The sequence below is a fragment of the Homo sapiens genome, chromosome 3, assembly GCF_000001405.40.
Source record: "Homo sapiens chromosome 3, GRCh38.p14 Primary Assembly".
In the NCBI taxonomy this organism is placed as follows: Eukaryota; Metazoa; Chordata; class Mammalia; order Primates; family Hominidae; genus Homo; species Homo sapiens.
The window spans coordinates 180,638,710-180,660,466 of record NC_000003.12 but is presented as its reverse complement, the minus strand read 5'-3'; the positions used below and the strand labels follow the sequence as shown (position 1 = coordinate 180,660,466).

Here is a 21,757-nt window from a genome sequence, read left to right as displayed (position 1 = left end):
AACTTCTGAGTCAGAGGCTTCTTGGAGAAGCTAATAAAGCCAAATGTCTTCTCTGTAGAAAAAATGACTATATTCAAATACCCATAAAATATTGCTGACTGTTTCATAGATTCTCTGATTCCCTTTGATTATTTGAGGATTCATGGATCGCAGGTTAAGAATATCCTGATTTATAAGGATGCTCAAAAGCATTTCAGAAGAGAAAGTTTTCCACTAGAACTATTTTAATATATTTTAGCTATTTTGCCTAAAATGTAGTTTGAATATTACATGTAGTTTTTGCTGATTTGAGACTGTAGTGCTATTGATTATGTTATAAAAATCACTTAAAATCTACTTATATCTGGTGATACTAATAAAGCTAGTATTATAAAACATGCTATTTTCTAGTAGATTTAATACCAATGCATTATTTTAAAACTTTCAAATAGGAAATTATAACTTAATCTTTTTTCTAATTTACTTTAAAAATATTAAAAGTCATTTTAGAAACAATTGAGTTTTTATGCAGCTATATGCAAACACATTAGATTAGCTTTTTGGGGTTAAAAGATAAGAAAGATATTTATTATTTCACAGTTTTAGATATAAAATAAATGTAAATGTATAGTGTAATACTATTTAATGTTAGATACACTAATAACATTTAAATTAATAGAATGAGAATTATAAGTATCTGTATATAATTACATCATAGGCACTGACTCTGCAATTAGAAAGACTAACTTTGGAATGTAATCAGAAAAGAAAGATACTTGACAACGAACTTACAGAGACTATAAGCGCACAGGTTAGTTTAAGGAAGATTTTTATTTCTTAATTTTCAAGGTGATGTTTGCAAAACCACTTAAATTCACAGAAATGTTCTTTGCTCTCTGTTTGACAGTTAGAATTGGATAAAGCAGCACAAGATTTTCGTAAGATTCATAATGAAAGACAAGAACTCATTAAACAATGGGAGAACACAATAGAACAGATGCAGAAGAGGGATGGAGACATAGATAACTGTGCTTTGGTAAAGTAGTTGTTTGGTCCTTGTAATGTTCAGCTGCATTTGTCTCTTTTGTATTTAACTCATTATTCCAAATGTAAATCACATTGTTATTTGAAAGTCACTTTTGTAGCAATATTCAGTAGTTTTGGTAAATATTTTTGAAAGCTGACTCTATATCCATTTGGAAATGTGATGAAGATTATTTGAGTGTAGTATTATAACTCCAAACACTGGATCCTGTCATCTCAGAATTGCGGAACAAGAAAGAGTCAGTAGATACTGTTCTGGCAATAAAACCAATGCCCTGACTTACACATGGCTGTCCAAGGTCCCTTGGATTTAATGTGTATGCTATTTGGCAATAAGTTACAGTAGGGAAATGGAACCTCCATGAACAGCCAAGGGACAAGGAGTCAGAAAAGAAACCTAGACTGCAGTAAAGTTTCACTTTTGAAGCTGAGACACCAATAATGACAAAGAGGCTTGGAAGCGGGGAATACTGCACTGATAACACAGACCAAGTGTTATCTCTTGTTATTTTCAGAGGTAATTTAGGAGAATGTTTTTGGAAAATCATTAAGGAATGAAATAATGGGGAATAAAAGTGGGAAGATTTGAGAAAGAGAAGGAATTCAGAGTCAGGTGAGAAGATGGGTTAAATTCTATCTACTCCATGGAAAGGCATTTGGCAAGCAGCTCAGGCTACTGGGAGTTTAAATTCTGGTATCTGGGTGTGGTTTACTTTTGGTTGTTATATTTTCAATTTCTGTAAGTAACCAACATTTTATCAACAAAACTGGTTATACCTCCCTAGGAGGGACAAAGGAGAACCAATCTTAACTATGAGGTTCTCTTAATTCTCTCTTTTTTTTTTTTGAGACGGAGTCTTGCTCTGTCACCAAGGCTGGAGTGCAGTGACCTGATCTCTGCTCACTGCAAGCTCCACCTCCCGGGTTCACGCCATTCTCCTGCCTCAGCCTCCGAGTAGCTGGGACTACAGGTGCCCGCCACCATGCCTGGCTAATTTTTTTGGATTTTTAGTAGAGACGGGGTTTCACCGTGTGTTAGCCAGGATGGTCTCGATCTCCTGACCTCGTGATCCACCTGCCTCAGCCTCCCAAAGTGCTGGGATTACAGACATGAGCCACCGCGCCTGGCAGAGGTTCTCTTAATTCTTTTTTTTTTTTTTTAAGGAGGTTCTTTTAATTAATGCTGATACTACCTTTTTTTTTTGAAACTGAGTTTCACTCTTATCGCCCAGGCTGGAGTGCAATGCCGTGATCTCAGCTCACTGCAATCTCTGCCTCCCGGATTCAAGCAATTCTCCTGCCTCATCCTCCCAAGTAGCTGGGATTACAGGCTCCCGCCACCACGCCCAGCTAATTTTTGTAGTTTTTTTTTAGTAGAGACAGGGTTTCATCATGTTGGCCAGGCTGGTCTCGAACTCCTGACCGCAGGCAATCCACCCGCCTCCCAAAGTGCTGGGATTACAGGCGTGAGCCACCGCACCTGGCCTGCTATTAATATTTCTTAACTTCTCATTGCTTTCAAACATTAAGCTGTTGACTTACAAGGAAGAAGCTGAAGCAAAATTAATGGAAGCAGAGTTTCTTTTGGCCAAGCTTGAGGATTGATTCCTGGGAACCTGGGAGTATAGATTCAAGTTGCCCTGAATATACACTCCAATTAGCAGCAGTTACAAGTTGATTTTTAAAGAGGGAAAAAAGAGCGAGTTCCTGAGTTGTTTATCAAGAATTTACATTGAAATAACATCAGCTATTGATTGGCTATACATTGTTGAGCTGCAGGGTGTGGGTTATAGTATCTGCTGAGGCATTATTAGGTTAATTTATAGCTGCTTGTGGCAATAGCAAGCTGTATCAAGACATGAGTACACAGCTCATAAAAGGGGTGCAGTGGGATGTTATTTCTGTCTGATTTTAATGCCTTTCTGGGCTTGATAATGTAAAATTCTCAGATAAAAATTCTTTTCTCAAGTCATGACTGCTTCCTCTCTGTCAGTCATGTGCGAGATCCAAGATTACGGATCCACAATCAGTTTTCTCATACAACCCCATGGCTAAAGTAACTCGGTCAGCTGATTTGGCAGAATACACAACTAGTAGCTCCCTGGTCACATTCATAGTGGTTCCTTACTTACATGTTGACATCTCCTGATTGTGCTGTCAGAGACTAAGGAGGGTGCTAAGAGGTGGTTCCGTTAGGCAGCAGGATGCTTCTAAGTGTTTGACAACTGCTATATGAGAATAAAACAAAACAACACATTTTGAAAAAACCCCTGATCTATAGGATTTCTGATTTCTATGGTTTTATTATTTTCATACTGTTACCAGAAAGGGGTCCTGATCCAGACCCTGAAAGAGTGTTCTTGGATCTCATGCAAGAAAGAATCTGAGGCAAATCCACAGAGTAAAAGTGAAAGCAGCTTTATTAAGAAAGCAAAGGAATAAAGGAATGGCTATTCCATAGGCAAAGCAGCCCTGAGGGCTGGTGGTTGCCCATTTTTATGGTTATTTCTTGATTATATGCTAAACAAGGGGTAGATTATTCATGCCTCCCCCTTTTAGACCATATAGGGTAACTCCCTGACATTGCTAGGGCATTTGAAAACTGCCATGGTGCTGGTGGGAGTGTCTTTTAGCAGACTAATGCATCATAATTAGCATATAATAAGCAGTGAAAATGACCAGAGGTCACTCTCTTTTCCATCTTGGTCAGGGGGGGTTTTAGCTGGTTTCTTTACTGCAAACTTTTTAATCAGCAAGTTCTTTATGACCTGTATCTTGAGCCAACCTCCTGTCTCATCCTGTGACTTAGATTGCCTGTCTGGGAATGCAGCCCCGTAGGTCGCAGCCTTATGTTAACGCTGCTCCTCTTCAAGATGGAGTTGCTATGGTTCAAATGCCTCTGACGGTAGCATATTGGAGGGTGGAATATTTTATCTCCTAACTGATATTATACTCTTTTGTTCCTCTTCCTGCAAAACAGTTCATTCCTGCCTTCTCAGCATTTTCTTTTCAGGGGTCTGGTCATAAAATCCTGAAATTGTATTCTTAAAAGAAACAACGTGTAGAAGTGGAAAAATATTTTTCTACTATGCTTTTATTACAGTGTAGAAGTTTTAAAATATTACTTAGTATTACCTATATGAAAATTTTATGATGCATAGCACTATTAAGTATGATGTTGAAGTAGAATTAAAGCATCTGATTAAGTGGTAGAAAAAATCATAAGGCAAGAAACTCTGGATTCATATTCTGAAATATTTAAACTTAGGAAGTTTTGACGTGTCTTTTGAGTGAATGAACACAGTAAATATTTAGAACAACTTAAAAATTGGATTAAACAACTTGAAAACTAAACAACTTTAAAATTTCCTTTTTAAAATATATCTCAGATGTGTAGCCATTTAATATGCTAATATGTATACATGCAGCATTTCTAAAACCTGTTGATTTCAGAACACATACCTCCTCCCCCAATCTCCTGTGATTAGTTGTTTGGAAGGACCTCATTTTGGAATACATGCAAGTAATACACATTAGGGTAATTTTTTTTCTAATTCATCCAACTTATTGCCATCAGCATCACTTGTAAAAACAACATCTAATCTTTTTATTTCCCAGCTTTGAAATCTTTTTGCTTCACATTGCTTAAAAGTTGATCTTTAACATGACATTTGAATTTTTTCACAATTTGGCCCTAAACCCTACCTTTCCAGCTTTATCTCTTTCATCTGGACCCCAACCCTTCTTAATATATTCCTTTTGCACCCCTGCCTTCCCACCCTACACTTTAACTACATTAGAGTATTTATGCAACCCCATTCATGTTTGTAAGCCTGACTCAAATGTTGCCTCTTGGGCACGTCTTTTTTCTTCTTCTACTTTTTCTTTTTCTTTTTTTTTTTCTTCCCTATCCTGGAAAGCCAGGAAAGTATAATGTCGACTAATGACTCCTCTTGGAAAGAATTCATCATCTCTTTGTTCCCATGGTACTTTGTCCACATTTCAGTTACAGTGTTTTGTGTATTCTATTTATTATTGTCTCTACGACCAGTGAAAGGCCTGAGTGAAGACATTCCTATTGAAACCAATAACTAAAATGCTATTTTCAAAACACTAAAAAAAAACCGGTCTGTAAAATATTTGGAAAACTTCATTGAAACCCCGCTTTCCATGTGAAAAATATTCAACACTGTTACATTTGTAGGTTTTTACCTTTCATATATAAAAGCATAACCATTTTTCTCATCTCTTTAGCAAAATTCCAGATATATGAAAGAAAACAGAGACATTTAACAATATGAATTTATAGACATTAATATGTAGCATACTAATATTTTGTTTTTATTAATATAAAAGTATTTAAAAATGTCTTCTAAGAAGTTTTGGTAAAATAAGTACTAAATGTAATAATAGAAAAATAGAAACTAAATTCCTTTTAGTTTTCTCAGTTTAAACATATATTTAAGTAAACATATTTGTTTTAATCCTAGGAATTAGCAAGGATAAAGCAGGAAACGAGAGAAAAAGAAAATTTGGTTAAAGAAAAGATCAAGTTTTTGGAAAGTGAGATTGGGAATAACACAGAGTTTGAGAAAAGAATTTCTGTGGCTGATCGTAAACTTTTAAAATGTAGAACGGCATATCAGGACCATGAAACTAGTAGAATTCAGCTGAAGGGTGAGGTATGTCAACTCAAAAAAGACTGGCTTGTATGTTCACGACAAATCACTATAAAATATAAAATAAGCATAAAGCTTTTCCTGTGATAAAGAAACTACTTCTAGTTTTTTTTTTTTTTCCTTTTTCTTTTTTTTTTTTTAATGTCTCTTTGTTTGTGGAACTTTTGGGATACTCTGATTAAACCCCTGATTAAGCACCACGGGGCGCCATTCACATCACAGGTAAATGGTTTGCAAATATTTTCTTCCATTCTGTAGGTTACCTTTTCATTTTGTTGGTGGTTCCTTTTCCTTAAAGAAAGTTTTTAGTTTGATGTAGTCCTGCTTGTTTATTTTTGCTTTTGTTGCCTGTAATTTTGGTGTCAAATTCAAAAAATCATTACAGATACCAATGTCAAGGAGCTTTTCTCCTGTGTTTTCTTTGAGAAGTTTTACAGTGTCAGGTCTTATATTTAAGTCTTTAATTCATTTTGAATTAATTTTTGTATATGGTACCAGAGAAAAGCCCAATTTCTTTCTCTCTTTTTTTTTTTTTTTTTTTTTGCGTGTGGCTATCCAGTTTTCTTAACATCATTGATTGAAGAGACTATCCTTTCCCCATTGTGTATTCTTGACACATTTACTGAAAATTAGTTGATCATATATGCATGGGTTTATTTCCGGGTTCTCTATTCTGTTCCATTTTTCTGTGTGTCTGGTTTTTTTTTTTTTGCCAGTACAGTCAGCCTTCCTTATCCATGGATTCTGCATGTGTAGATTCAACCAACAATTGATAAAAAATATTCAGAAAAGAAACCCAATAAAAATAATACAACAATAAAAAGGGAAACAAATTTTAAAAATATGAAAATTATTTACATAGCATTTACATTGTATTAGGTGTTAAAAATAATCAAGAGATTATTTAAAGTATACAGGAGGCTGTACATAGGTTATATGCAAATACATGTCATTTTATATAAGGGACCTACACATCCGTAGATTTTGGTATCTGCGAGGGATCCTGGAACCAATCCCCTGTGGATGCCAATGGATGACTGCACTATTTTGTTTTGATTAGTTTAGCTTTGTGATACAATTTTAAATAAAAAAGTATGTTGCCTCCAGCTTTGTTCTTTCTGCTTAAGATTACTTGAGCTATTTGGGATCTTTTATAGTTCCATATGAATTTTAGAATTGTTTTTCTGTTTCAGTGAAGAATGACATTGGAATTTTGATATTGTATTGAATCTGTCAACCTAAATAACAGAGAGAGGCCCTCTAAAAATATTGAGCTTAATTAGGAATGAGCAGGGAATTTGAAAATCCAGTATATACAGGCTATGACAGATTATAGGCATATCTAGGGAGATAAAGGAAGGCAAAAGTTTTTAAAGGTAAAATGAGTAACTTTACCTAAGTTGTATTAAAATAATAATCCTTGGCTATAGGAATCAATTAGGGTAGTGTCAGTCCAAGGTTGATCAGTCAGTTGCTGGGCAGATGTCTTTGTAGAAGGGTTTTGTACAAGGTTGCAGTGGTCTTTATGCAAGGCTGTGGTTCTGGCAGAGTCTCTTGGGATAGTTCTTGTTATTGGGCAAATATGTATGAGAACTCTCTCTTCATGGCCTTCCCCAGCTCAGTTTTGTCAGGGTTTGACACAAGTGACTCCATTTTGATTTTGACAACTTTCACAAATCTGTAGATCGCTTTGAATAGTATGACCATGTTAACAGTATTAATTCTTCCAATCCATGAACACAGGATATCTTTATGTCCTCTACAATTTCTCTCATCAATGTTTTGTAGTTTTTAGTGTACAGATCTTTTTCTTCCTTGGTTAAATTTATTCCTAAGTATTTTATTCTTTTTGATGCCATTGTAAATGGGATTGTTTTCTTGATTTCTTTTTTGGATTGCTTGTTGTAAGTGTATAGAATGTAACTGGTTTTGTATATTGATATTGTATCCAGAAACCTTACTGAATTTGTTCTGAGAGTATTTGGTGGAGAGTTTAGGGTTTTTGCAAAGGTCCTTAATAAAAAAGAAAATTTGTATCTTAGATTTTCTGTTTAAATAATTTTGATTAATAGTAAAATATAGTTTACTATTGATTAACAGTAAAATGTAGTTATTAGAAGTCTGATATATTAGAATCTTTTGAGATTTTTCAAATCCAGTTAAACTTATGATTCTTATGAGCACATATATATTAGCTTATCTGGACTTTGGGGATGTGCTCTTTCTGAGCAGGTCTAGTGATATTAGACATTTCTGTATTTACTTTCAACACATATGTGTTCTCTATAATTTGCTAGGATTATACAACAAAGCCAATTAAAATTTGATAGCAGATCAATATGGAAATCTGTTTATATATTAAATATAAAAAAATGGCTACTACTTTTGTGGGTGTGATGTAGGTTAGAACTTAAAGTGGGCAGAATAAAACTCAGAAATGAAATAAGTTATAAGATACAGAGTAAATATATAATTTCTGTCTGTTAACTAATAAATAGCTGGATTCTTTAAAAGCCACTGTGAATAGAACTTCCAGTGATTTAGAAGCTCTGAGGAAAAATATTTCCAAGATAAAGAAGGACATTCATGAAGAAACAGCAAGGTAAGAAAAAAACTATCTAAATATGTTTATGATTATTTTTTACTATATCTAGAAAATTATTAAATACTTAAGACTATTTGTTGTTTAAATAATTGCAATATTTTAGCTACTACTTTTTTTTTTTTTGAGAGGGAGTCTTGCTTTGTTGCCCAGGCTGGAGTGCAGTGGCGTGATCTCAGCTCACTGCAAGCTCCGCCTCCTGGGTTCACACCATTTTCCTGCCTCAGTCTCCTGAGTAGCTGGGACTACAGGTGCCCGCCAGCAGGCCCAGCTAATTTTTTGTATTTTTATTAGAGACGGGGTTTCACCGTGTTAGCCAGGATGGTCTTGATCTCCTGACCTCGTGATCTGCCCGCCTTGGCCTCCCAAAGTGCTGGGATTACAGGCGTGAGCCACCGCGCCTGGCCAGCTACTACGTTATTAAACTTAAAAAAATTTTACTCATATTTTCATCACAAAGACTCAGAAGCCATATTTTTATGGTCTATTAAATATGTAGTGGTAATAAAAAGGTTTACGCAAAAAACCCCTTCAAGTTATACAAATAAATATTAGGATAAACTATTATTTGTTTGTATGAAATGCTTTTTAGGCACGTTTTCTATCTTTTTGTGATAAACCCTCTTCAGGTTACAAAAAACTAAAAATCATAATGAGATAATACAAACAAAATTAAAGGAGATAACTGAGAAAACCATGTCTGTAGAAGAGAAAGCTACTAATTTGGAAGATATGCTAAAGGAGGAGGAAAAAGATGTGAAGGTAAAGTTTAGTTTTAATTTTTCTTTAAATCACAGAAAATTTAGCAACAGTGAATTAATTAGACTCCTAGGATCAGAGGACGAGGAGGTCTTGTAAGAAGCTCTGCTTTTTGGTATGATCACATTTATAATCTGGTTTTGGACCTCTTCTCATGCATTGCTTCTGAAGTTATTCTCAGTCTCCTCTCTCTTTTTTCTTTTTTTTTGTGATGAAGTCTGGCTCTTGTTGCCCAGGCTAAAGTGCAATGGCGAGATCTTGGCTCACTGCAACCTCCGCCTCCCAAGTTCAAGCGATTCTCCTGCCTCAGCCTCCCGAGTAGTTGGGATTACAGGTGCCTGCAACCACGCCTGGCTAATTTTTGTATTTTTAGTAGAGATGGGGTTTCGCCATGTTGGCCAGGCTGGTCTCGATCTGCTTGCCTCAGCCTCCCAAAGTGCTGGGATTACAGGTGTGAGCCACTGTGCCGGCCAGCCTCCTCTCTTTTTAAGCTACTAATTTTGATGTCTTTGTATTTATTTTTTATTTTATTTTATTTTATTTTTTTGAGACTAAGTCTCGCTCTATCCCCTAGGCTGGAGTGCAGTGACATGATCTCAGCTCACTACAACCTCCACCTCACAGGTTCAAGTGATTCTCCTGCCTCAGCCTTCTGAGTAGCTGGGATTACAGGCGCGTGCCACCACACCTGGCTAATTTTTGTATTTTTAGTAGAGATGGGGTTTCACCATGTTGGCCAGGCTGGCCTCAAACTCCTGACCTCAAGTGATCTACCCTCCTCCGCTTCCCAAAGTGTTGGGATTACAGGTGTGAGCCACCATGCCTGGCTACTTTTTAAAAAAGTAGCTCCCCCACTGTGCCCTGGATTCCATTCCTTCCCAAAGCCTACTGTACCTATGTCCCTGCCATCATCCATATATCTATTTGTATATTGCATACAAATAGTTCAAAAAGTGGCTTTGTTTTACAACTGATTTCTACATGATTATCACTGTTTTTTTGTAATCAAATTCCCATCATCATCTACATTCCTGATTTGTACTTCTTTATCATCTACTATCTCTTTAACCCCTTATACTCTGGCAAAATTTTTTGGTAAATGGGCTTTGAAATGCTATAACTTTGCTAATTCTACTGGCACCTTCTTCTACCTCAGTCTTTTTTGGCATGTTGATGGCATTAAAGCCAATTTTTGAGGAACTGGAAAAGGCTGGTGCACCACTTCGTCTTTGAAAACTTCAAAGTGAACTATAAGTGTGAACTATAAGTGTGACCTGACTCTACTTCTTGCTTTTACTCGTTTGGGGGGGTTGAAAAAGGGGTAGTTGAAGATGGTGGCAAAATCTCCCAATATAAGGCTTATATCTCATCTGGCTCCATTTGTATTTGGATGGGATCCAGCTTCCTCAGTGTGCTGTAAAATTTCTAAGTCATAAAATCATGCTGCAATCTTGACATGAATGATATTCAAATTACACATTATGTTTTAAAAGTTTTGGTGTTTTCTTCCTAAGAGCATAATTCCCTGTAACAGATGATATTAGTACTTATCAGAAACCTGTAAACACTGTGAAATTTATATGAAATAGACCTTTTCATCACAGAGAATTAAAAACTTCAGACATTTTTGAAGAACTGGCTAAATTAGAAAAATTAATAATATTAGCAGCAGGGTGTACCGATTGTTTTTTTAGCAGGGCTGTGTTCATAGTCTTGGGGGTTTTTTCATTGCTGTTGGTTTTTGTTTGTTTGAAAAAATCCCAACCCTATCTTTTTTGGAGATGTACTGTGTTATTCACCACGAAGCATTGGCTTTAAAACTCTGCCAGGCAATCTTTGAGAAGATCTTAAACCTATAGAAAATTGTTTATGTAAAATAATGCACTGAATATCAGATTATATTTCTTGTTTATGCAAAGATTTCAATGTGCCAGTCACAGACTTGTTTTGTGTCATATTCAGGTTTGTTGGTTGCTAAAGGAAAATATACTTATTTGGGTATAAGATCACATAGGCAAATTATTTCAGCATTTAAAAATGATAATTTTCAACTGATCATGGCATGGTAGATCAATTTAAAGCCTAGAACACATTGGTTGTGAGGCTTCCGGGTCAAGACAGGTTTGCTTCCTGAGAGAGTATCTGTGGGAATGGGAGACTCATTTCTATTTCCTAGAGCTGCACGTGGTGGAGGCCAACTGGAGGCAAAGAGTGAGTGACAGGTAGTTCCTGTAGTGTGCTGGTAGTGCTCCTACCAGCTTACAAGAGCCAATAGTTAAATTTTTAGAAATTTTCCTAAATACAGCTATGATTAAAAATGAGATTATATAAACTCATAGTTAAATAAATAGCGTTTACAAAAAAAGTAATACATACTCAGCACTCATTACTTCCAAATATTTTATTATTTTGTACTCTTAAGGTTACCTATGTCTGTTTTATCTGTATGTTGGAAACACCACAAAATGGTCTGTTTCTGTGAATTTCTTCCCAACTCTGCCTTTAGTGGAATCATGTTAGTAGCAGGAAATTGGCCATAATGGGAGTATTTATACCGTGGAAATCAGATTCTCCCCCTAGCCTCTCATCTCCTAGAGAGATGATGGTTAAACATTTAACATTTACCTGCTCACCACTGTATAGTGCTTGAAAGGTGGGAGATTGGGTGGTGTGATTTCTTCCCCATAGCACCCTCAAGACTTTAGGAAACTCTGTGCATGTACAGGCTGCATATTTCCAGTGGACTTTATTTTTTGAGGAAATCAGTAGAATGACCAACTGCTAGGCTAGGGTAGCATGGGATGAAATTAAGACGACAGGTCAAGGTGTATGACACGGGCGTAAAAGCTACCCTAGTCTACTAGAATAGAATAAACCATAAGAAATGCTGGGGACTTGTTAAAATTGTGGGAAGAGCTTTATCTTCTAAAGGGCTAAAATAGTGGAGGGTTCAAATTTATTTGAGTTTCTAAATTATTATGTTCATATAAATACAACATTTCAATATATTTAATTCCATTAATCACTATAATTCTCATTATCAGGAAGTAGATGTTCAACTGAACCTCATAAAAGGTGTGCTGTTTAAGAAAGCTCAGGAGTTACAGACTGAGACAATGAAAGAAAAAGCTGTTTTATCAGAAATTGAAGGAACTCGTTCCTCTCTGAAACATCTCAACCATCAGTTACAAAAACTGGATTTTGAAACCTTGAAGCAGCAAGAAATTATGTACAGCCAGGTAGATGTTACTTTTATGAATATCTTCCATATTGATTTATTACAGTTGTGATGGTCAAGATACGCCATGTTCTAAGAAAACAAAGAATTATAAGCCCTTTTGTGGAGGACAGACAGATGCTGAAGGTGAGACATCATGTTAGATCAGTAGTAGGGTGAGGGAGCCTTAAAAACTATTTTTTCCCCTCAATCTGAAATAAACAGGCAAGAGGAGAGAGAACTCTAGTGAGGGAGAACCGTGTTTTAAAGGAACCTGAGACATTTGCATCCAGAGTAAAACAGAAGAAGGCACGAGATATCTGAAACCGAGAAAAACTGTATGTTGATTCTTAGTTAGGCACCCCCACCCTCACCCCCATGCTAATAGAGTAAAAGCATTTTTTTCAGTTTTTCCTTATTTTGTTCTATTTATATATTTGTGTTAATCTCTTAATATTCTCCATCTCTACATCTTAATTTTCTCATCTAATATATATTCTTAGTTTTTAAAAATTACAGATGTTAAAGTATAATATTAAGAATAATTAATTAGATGTTCATATTTGAACCTTTCATGGCTAACAATTAGTGACTACCTGTTTTGTATCCCTTAGATAATGTGCCCTCAGAAATCCAAATTCATGTAAATCCAGTGAATTTACTGAGATTCCATCATGGTAGTATGATAAACATCCCCCAACTTTGTCATATTTTCAGAAGATTATTTCTGTGTCTATCATGTACCTTGATTGTTGAGATATAGTTTATTTTTGTTCCTCTTAGAGTGAAAAGGATTTTATCCTGAATTACTGAAAGACTAAAGTGACTTTATTACATGATAATGCCTAGTCCAAAGTCATAAGAAAGTATTCACTTTGTTTTTACACTTGTAGAAATGCTTTTTTTTTCTTTGTAATACCTTTTTTTTTTTAAACTGTAACAGGATTTTCACATTCAACAAGTGGAACGGAGAATGTCACGGTTAAAGGGAGAAATTAATTCAGAAGAAAAACAAGCGCTTGAAGCAAAAATTGTTGAACTTAGGAAGTCTTTGGAAGAGAAAAAATCTACATGTGGCCTTTTGGAAACACAGATCAAGAAGCTTCATGTAACTTAGCCAAAATACATTTTATATTTCAAATATCCTAGTCATTCTGTTTTAGGACAACATGTTCTTAAGACTACTTTGGATAGGGTGACTGCCACTCTACACACATATATAACAAATGTATGAACAATGTTCTTATTTTTGTACTATTAGTGTGTAATGTTACCATTGATGATGCATTTAGTATATGCTAAATATTGTATGACATGCCTCTAGTATTTTATTTCATATAATCCTTACAGATGTCTTGTGAGGAAGATACTATTATCTGTTTTATAGAGTAAGTAATTTGTCCAGGTTATACTGCTAGTACACAGAGAGCTAGGATTTGACCCCTCCTGCATTTGACTTCTAAATACTCTTCAAGAGTACACTGTTTAGAACATTGATAAGTTCTAGTTTTCTATTTTATTAACTGCCATAACAAATAACTTGATGGCCCTTTGTCTTTAAAACACCATGTAAAAAGAAACTGCTCTTTATGAGTCAGCAGTTGTTATTCAAATCTTTACTTAGTTATAATATTTGAAATGATTGGATTCTGTTAATAAGGTTAGAACGTCTTCATCTTTAGGCATTTTATTATGTTTCTTGTAATATAAAACCTATGTTAAAGTTTGACTAGAGAGTAAAAGTGAGATAGTGAGTGTGGACATGAATGGGGTGAGAACTTAGTAGGGTCTAATTGTTATTTACCACTGGAAAGACTATTGATGTGTCCTCTGGTGGTTATAAAAAGAATTGCCCTAAATTCCTTGAGGGCTGCAAAAGGTGGAGAGTTATTACTTTTTTTTTTTCTTCTTAAGAAGACAAAATTTTGGTTTGGAGTAGTTTGTAGTCTGATGAAATATTTTAAAATGGTTATCTTTGTTTAGTGGAAAAAAATACTTGTTTTTGGATCAGATAAAACTAGTTTTAAATTTCAAGGCTATACCACTACTGCTGTTTTAAATTTTCTGAGCTCTAGTTTACTCGTCTATTAAATGGGGGAAAAATTAATATTATTTTAGGACATTTGGGAGAACTAGAAGCAATTTATATCTTAGCACAATTGTAGGTACTCAATATGTGGTATTGTTTTGATTATTTAGAATATGAGAATGGTATAGAATGTTAGAGGTATGACTTTGTTTCTTGCCCCTGGCCTGGATTGTGTCTGTTTTGCTGTGTGGGGATGGTTATAATTCTTCCCCCTTTGAACTACTCTGACTGCTCCCTCCATCATACCATTGTCAAGTGCTTATGCCATTCCAACTCTGGTTTTAACAGAGAGATACATAAATTAATAGAAATGTAAGTGAATTAACAAATTATATTAAAGCTAGTTAGCCTTTGGTCATTATGAAGAGCTGCTCTTTTCAATAGTAGCAACAGATTGTAAAGTCATCCTGTATGCCCTCTCACATGCCACTCCATCTCATTTTACATACAGAAAATAGTTTCTTCAGGTTGAAAATCACATTGTTTTAGCTCTTTTTATCAAATTTAATTTTATAAAATCACATTTTTATGCAAAAAATTCCTCTTCTTACTATCTTGCTGAAATCTTAGGTCCCAATACTTCAGAGAAATGCAGGCAATTAGAAACAGAGGAGAGGAGGAACGGATAGAGGGAGGAAGAGAGGGAAAGAGATCTTGGAACTGGAAAGTTTAGATTTAGGAAACAAGAAGGGAATAAGAGCACAAACCTTATTCTGGGTTCTGGGTGGGAAGAGGGATCTAAACAGGTATAAAACTGGAAAACTGGTATCTGCAAATGTATGATCTATTTATGCATATGATGGAATTAGTTCTAATCAAACATTTTTCTCTTTAGCAATATGTGATTATGTATGTAATTAATAATAGCTGACATTTACATGGCACTTCTATGTGTCAAGCACTGTTATACACATGCTTTGACAATAACATCTTTAATCTTCACAATAACCCATGAAGGTAGAAACTGTCCTCATCTCCATTTAGAGATGAGGAAACTGAGGAAGAGTCCATCATACTAGGGTCAGATGGTTAGTAGGTAATTAAAGCCATCTGATTCTAAGAGCTTGTACTCTTAACCAGCACCCTATGGTTTCTCAGATTGTTGATATCCTTACTATCTGGGACTTGCGTAGAATCAAACAATGAACTCCAATATGGGAGTGGTAAACCATGTGATGAACTGGTGTATGCTCCCATCTCCTCATAAATGGCTGTCTCCTAGCACAGTCGCCCTCTGTATCCACAAGCTCCACATCTGCAGATTCATCCAACTGAGGATTGAAAATACTCAGAAAAATGGGTGATTGCATCTGTATTGAAAATGTACAGACTTTTTTCTTGTCATTATTCCCTAAATGATATAGTGTAACAACTATTTATATAACATTTACATTTTATTACATAAGTAATGTAAAGATAATTAAAGGTATACAGGAAGATGTGTGTAGATTATATGCAAATACTATGCCATTTTATATAAGGGACTTGAACATCCATACCTTTTGGTGGTGGTAGTGCAGTTGTCCTGCAACCAATCCCCAGACAATACTGAGGGATGACTGTGATTCATTAGGTTGAACTGGAAGTTATGTATTGCCTAGAATTACTGAACTCATACTACATCCAAAACATCAATTGATGATAAAAATGAAAATGTTTCTATGTGACTATCCATGTGTATTATATTACAGACATAGCAGAAAGAGAGATAATAAAACATAGGATTATTTTAAATATCTGAGTATATAATTTAATGTAAGATATATATAATACAGCATGTATTTAATATTTTTGTCAATATTTAAAACATACATTTATATACCTTTTTTCTTTTTTGCAGAATGATCTTTATTTTATCAAGAAGGCACATAGTAAAAACAGTGATGAAAAACAGTCCCTTATGACCAAAATAAATGAACTAAACCTTTTCATCGACAGATCAGAGAAAGAACTTGATAAAGCCAAAGGTTTTAAGCAGGTGCAGTAAAATTGTATGCATATGTAGTATTGAAAACCATGTTTCCATGTTAATTGTAGACAAATGAAAAAATATAGCAAATTATGAAAAAGAAAATGTCACTATAATCACTATACCCAATATAAACAGTGTTAAAGTCTATAATTTCCCTCCAGTCTTGTAAAGAAATTTGGCTTTTTATGTTGTATTAAAAAATTTCTATATATCATATGCTTCCTAAAACATTAACTATTCTTTCAAAAACATTTTTGAAGGCTTTCTATAAGTCCATTGCATGAAATTACCATAGTTTATTTAACCATCCCCTATTTTTTAGATTTTTGTTTCTTTCTAATGCTTGGCTATTGTAAATAGTACTACATGTACAGTGCAGTTGTTCAATTAGTTGTTCATTGTGCAGTTATTCAGTTAGTTCCTTTGGATAAATTCCTAGCTATATAATTATGATTCAGAAAGAAATGAATATTTTTAGCGTCTTGAAACAATTTTTAAGCCCAATTCTCTTCTAGAGGGTACCATTAATACTCCTATCAGTAGTATGTAAGCATTCTATTTTATTCACTACCACTGAGGCTGGATATCCTAATTTAAAAAATTGTTGCCAATTTGATAAACATGGTATCTCATTGTTTTAGTCTGCATTTTTAAAATTGGTGGTTTAAAAATATTTTGTTTAATGATACATTTTCAAACATTTATGTTTAAATAAAAATGTTTAAAACACTTTTCTCTGTTATGTCATGTTCCATATTTTTTTTCTTTGGAGCTCTAGTTTGTATTCTTGGCCCATTTTTTTTCCGCTGGGAAGTTTACATATATAAATTATAAAAGATTTTCATATGTAAAAATATTGTCTCTGTCGGCCGGGCACGGTGGCTCACACCTGTAATCCCAGCACTTTGGGAGGCCGAGGCGGGTGGATCATGAGGTCAGGAGATCGAGACCATCCTGGCTAACATGGTGAAACCCCATCTCTACTAAAAATACAAAAAATTAGCCGGGCGTGGTGGCGGGCGCCTATAGTCCCAGCTACTCCGGAGGCTGAGGCAGGAGAATGGCGTGAACCCAGGAGGTGGGGCTTGCAGTAAGCGGAGATCGCACCACTGCGCTCCAGCCTGGGCGACAGAGTAAGACTCCGTCTCAAAAAAAAAAAAAAATTATCTCTGTCATAAATATTGTAAATATTTTCCCCATTTACCTTTACATTTTTATTCAGTGTTTGTGACACAAAACTTTTTTTAAAACATCAAATCTCTTAGTTTTTTTTTCTTTTTAATTTTTATGCTTAGAAACTTCTTGGTTACACTAAAAATCAGACAAATGTTTACTATTTCTAGTAGTTACGTTGATTTCATCTCTTAAGATTTTTCATTCATCTAGAATATATTTTTGGTGCACGTGAGATGTAAGTATCTAATCTCTCCAAATGAAAAGCCACGTTTATGAAACAATAAAATCTTATATCCTGGAGTGTTTTTTTCTGGGGTTTCTATTCTGAAAATTGATTGATATGTGTACTCTTATGTCAGTACTCTATTCACGACTGAATTGTTTTAAAATAAAAATATATTTCCACATTATTTTGTGAGATTCAGAGTATAAAAATGGCCATTCATAGGGCTTTATGTTTTTTGGATAGCGTAAGTTTAACTTCAGGAATAACTTCTTCCCTTTGTTTTTTATAATAGCAAAGCTTGACTTTAAAATTGAATTATGAAAAAGATTTGGAATAACTATAAACCCTTTTCTTAAAAGAAAAAAAAAAACTATGATCAATTTTAGGCCTAGCTAATATCTTAGTCAATGGTTAAATTGGAAAAAGGTATATTTTCAAGTTTTACTTATATAGCAATAAAAAAAATTTTGGTTTTGCAATTAAAAATAATTTCAATATTTGACCATTTTGTTACGTTGATAGGATTTGATGATAGAGGACAATCTTTTAAAACTTGAAGTTAAGCGTACTCGAGAAATGCTTCACAGTAAGGCAGAAGAAGTTCTTTCCCTAGAAAAAAGAAAACAGCAATTATACACAGCAATGGAAGAGCGAACTGAAGAAATCAAGGTTCATAAAACAATGCTTGCGTCACAAATAAGATATGTTGATCAAGAACGGGAAAACATAAGGTAATTTTCAGTTTTAAAACTGCTGAGGAATTAAAAAAACAGGATGATGTCAGGAGAACTAGCTGCCCCCTCTAACATCCCGGATGTGCATCGTTTTTACTCATTCGAAATGGCTTTTCATATAAGAAAGACATAGGGCATGTTATAGCCATAAATCTAGGCTCTTCTTTTGGTTAATTCTTCATTCTTTAGATTGTCCCTTTTACATTAAGATCACTAATCTACTTGGAATTGCTTTTTATGTATGGTTTGTGGTAAAGTCCAATAACACGTCTTTTTAAAAATAGATATTCAATAGCTGCATCTATTGAAGTGATTTTGCACATCTTTTATAAGATTATTTCTGGCTACATGTTTTTTCTTTAATGTTACTGTCAATTTCATTTTTGGTTTGCTGCTGGTATGTAGAAATGCAGTTAATTTCTGTATATTAAGTATTCAGCAACCCTGCTTAACAATCTTGTTCTAACAATCAGTACATTCTAATTTTCTATATACTGTATTTCATTTATATTATTTTCAAATAATAACAGTTTTATTTCTTGCTTTCCAATCTTTATAACTTTTCTTTTTTCCCCAGTTCAATACTGAAGAGCAGTGTTGATTACAGGTATCCTTGTCTTATTATCTGATCTCAAAGGGAAAGCTTTCATTGTTTTTGCATTAAATATAAGGTTTACTGTAGTTTATTTCTATTTTTTAGATACCTTTTACCACATTGAGCTCCTATCTATTTTTATCCTTTACTAAGAAGTTATTTTGTTTAATCAAGAATGGATGTTGACTTTTATTATATGCTTTCTCAGCACTTATTGACAAGATGTATCTTCTTCAATCTGTTGTGTTTAATCATATTGATCAATTTTTCAAAGTCAAACCAACCTTACATTCTAGAATAAACCCAACTTGTCTGTTACATATTATCTTTTGCATACATCTAGATTTTGTTAGGGAATATTTTAATACAATTTTTGCATCTATGTTCATGTGTATAAATGACCCATAATTCTCCTTGCTCTACTGTCCTTGTCAGGGTATCAGGCTATTAAGGTTATGTCTGACTTCATAAAATGACTTGTGTGTATTTCTTATTTTTCTATACATTGAATATGTTTCTAAAAGAGTGGAATTATATCTTTTTTGTTTTTCAAAGACCCCACTGGAAAAAAAAGCCATTGGGAGCCTGAAGTTTTCTATGGGGGAACATTTTCAACTATTGGTTTATATACTGTTTATAGGACAATGCAGATTTTGTATTTATTATTGATTCTGTTTTGGTAAATTCTATTTTTCTCTAGGAAAAATTTTCTATATTTATCCAAATTTCAAATTTATTGCCATACAGTTGTTTATAATTTTATTAGTTAATAGTTGTAGTATTTTTAGAGATGATTCCTTTTATATTCCTGACATTGGTTATTTGTGCATTCTTTTGGGGTAGGATAATTCTCACCACAAGTTAATCAGTATTAACATTATTTGGAAAGGATCTGCTCTTATTGCTATCTTCTATTGTCCATTCATTATTTCATTAGTTTCTGATCTTGCCTTTACTATTTTTTCCTTCTTTTATACAGGGTTTTTAAATGTTATTTTCCTAAATTCTTCAGATGCTTAGCTCATTAATTTTCAGTTTTGAAGTAAAAAAAACCCTCTAAGTATTATATTAGCTGCATCCCACAAGAAATTAATATTGCCATTTTTTCTTTTTTACCTTTCCTGTCTTTCAATTGTCATAGACTTTACTTTTTAAACTTTATTGAGGTATATTTGAGATACATAAGTTGCACATATTTAAAGTGTACATTTGATAGGTTTTGACATACGTAATGTACCGGAGAGACCATCACCACCATCAAGATAATGTATCCATCACCCCCACAAGTTTCTTTGTACCCCATTGTAATTCCTCCCTTCGGTCCTTCCCCCATGTTTCTCTCTCCGGACAACTGATCTCCTTTTCATCCATATAGTTCGGATTGCATTTTCAAGAGTTTAACATAAATGGAATCCAATAGTAGGTCTGCCTTTTGTCTGGCTTTTTTCATTCAGCATAATTATTTTGAAATTCATCCATGTTGTGTATATCAATATACATTCCTTTTTGTCAGGGGTTGACACACTTTTTCTCTAAGAGCTAGATAACTAACTTACAGTTCCTTGCAGGCCATATTGTCTTTGTTTTATTTTTCAATTTTTTTCTAAAATTTTATTTCAATAATTTTTGAGAAACAGGTGGTTTTTAGCTACACAGATAAGTTCTTTAGCAGTAATTTCTGAGATTTTGGTGTATCTGAACCCAAGCAGTGTACACTGTACTCAAAGTATAGTCCTTTATCCCTCAGGTCCCTCTCACACTCCACCCCCCACAAGTCCCCAAAGTCCATTATATCATTTTTATTCTCTTCCATCCTCATAGCTTAGCTCCTGCTTATAAGCGAGAACATAACAATATTTGGTTTTCCATTCCTGAGGTACTTCACTTAGAATAATGGTCTCCAACTCCATCCAAGTTGCTGCAAATGCCATGATTTTGTTCCTTTTTGTGGCTGAGTAGTATTCCATGGTGTATATATACCACATTTTCTTTATCCACTTGTTGGTTGATTGGCATTTAGGCTGCTTCCAGTCATAGTTTGAATAACTCAACTCACTCAACTCTGTCATTGTAGACTGAAAGCAGCCACAGACACTGTCAAAGATGAGCATGGCTATTTTCCATTAAAACTTTATGAATACTGAAGTTTTAAATTTTCATGAAATATAATTCTTTTATTTTTCTAATCACTTAAAAATTTAAAAGTCATTCTTAGCTTGTGGGCTATCTAAAAACAGGTGGCAGGCAGGATGGTTTACTGACCCTGGCTTTCTCTTGTTAAATAGCAGTATTCCATTGCATGTGTTTACTCCAGTTGATTTATACATTTACCTGCTGATGGACATTTGAGTTGTTTCCAGTTCTTAGCTATTATAAACAAAGGTACTATGAACATATGTGTTCTTGGTATGGACATATGCTTTCTTTTCTCTTGGATAAATACTTAGGAGTAAAATTGCTGGATCATGTGGTAGGTATATATTTAACTTTTCAGGAAACATTAAGAAATTGCCATGTATTCATTATTTCTGTCTTTCCTGCTTTTCATTGTTTTTACTGAATTTTGTTTAGCCTTTTCTTTATTTGGAAGGTATACATTCTAATTTTAATTATTTTGTTGGTTATTCTTAGATTTAAAAGAAACTTTAATCATTTCTCTATGAATATTGAAAATTAGTTTCTATT

The 21,757-nt window shown here is 34.2% G+C and overlaps 1 protein-coding gene across 1 annotated transcript in view; it reads left to right on the top strand.

Moving 5' to 3' along the window:
• CCDC39 (coiled-coil domain 39 molecular ruler complex subunit) overlaps window positions 1-21,757 on the top strand; it is a 65,482-nt gene that overhangs the window by 19,023 nt on the left and 24,702 nt on the right. The window contains exons 5-13 of the mRNA NM_181426.2: window positions 698-790; window positions 887-1,015; window positions 5,514-5,705; window positions 8,201-8,304; window positions 8,934-9,066; window positions 12,108-12,302; window positions 13,224-13,388; window positions 16,210-16,347; window positions 18,266-18,474. Coding sequence (NP_852091.1) covers window positions 698-790; window positions 887-1,015; window positions 5,514-5,705; window positions 8,201-8,304; window positions 8,934-9,066; window positions 12,108-12,302; window positions 13,224-13,388; window positions 16,210-16,347; window positions 18,266-18,474 — 1,358 coding nt within the window. The remainder of the gene's footprint in view (window positions 1-697; window positions 791-886; window positions 1,016-5,513; window positions 5,706-8,200; window positions 8,305-8,933; window positions 9,067-12,107; window positions 12,303-13,223; window positions 13,389-16,209; window positions 16,348-18,265; window positions 18,475-21,757) is intronic.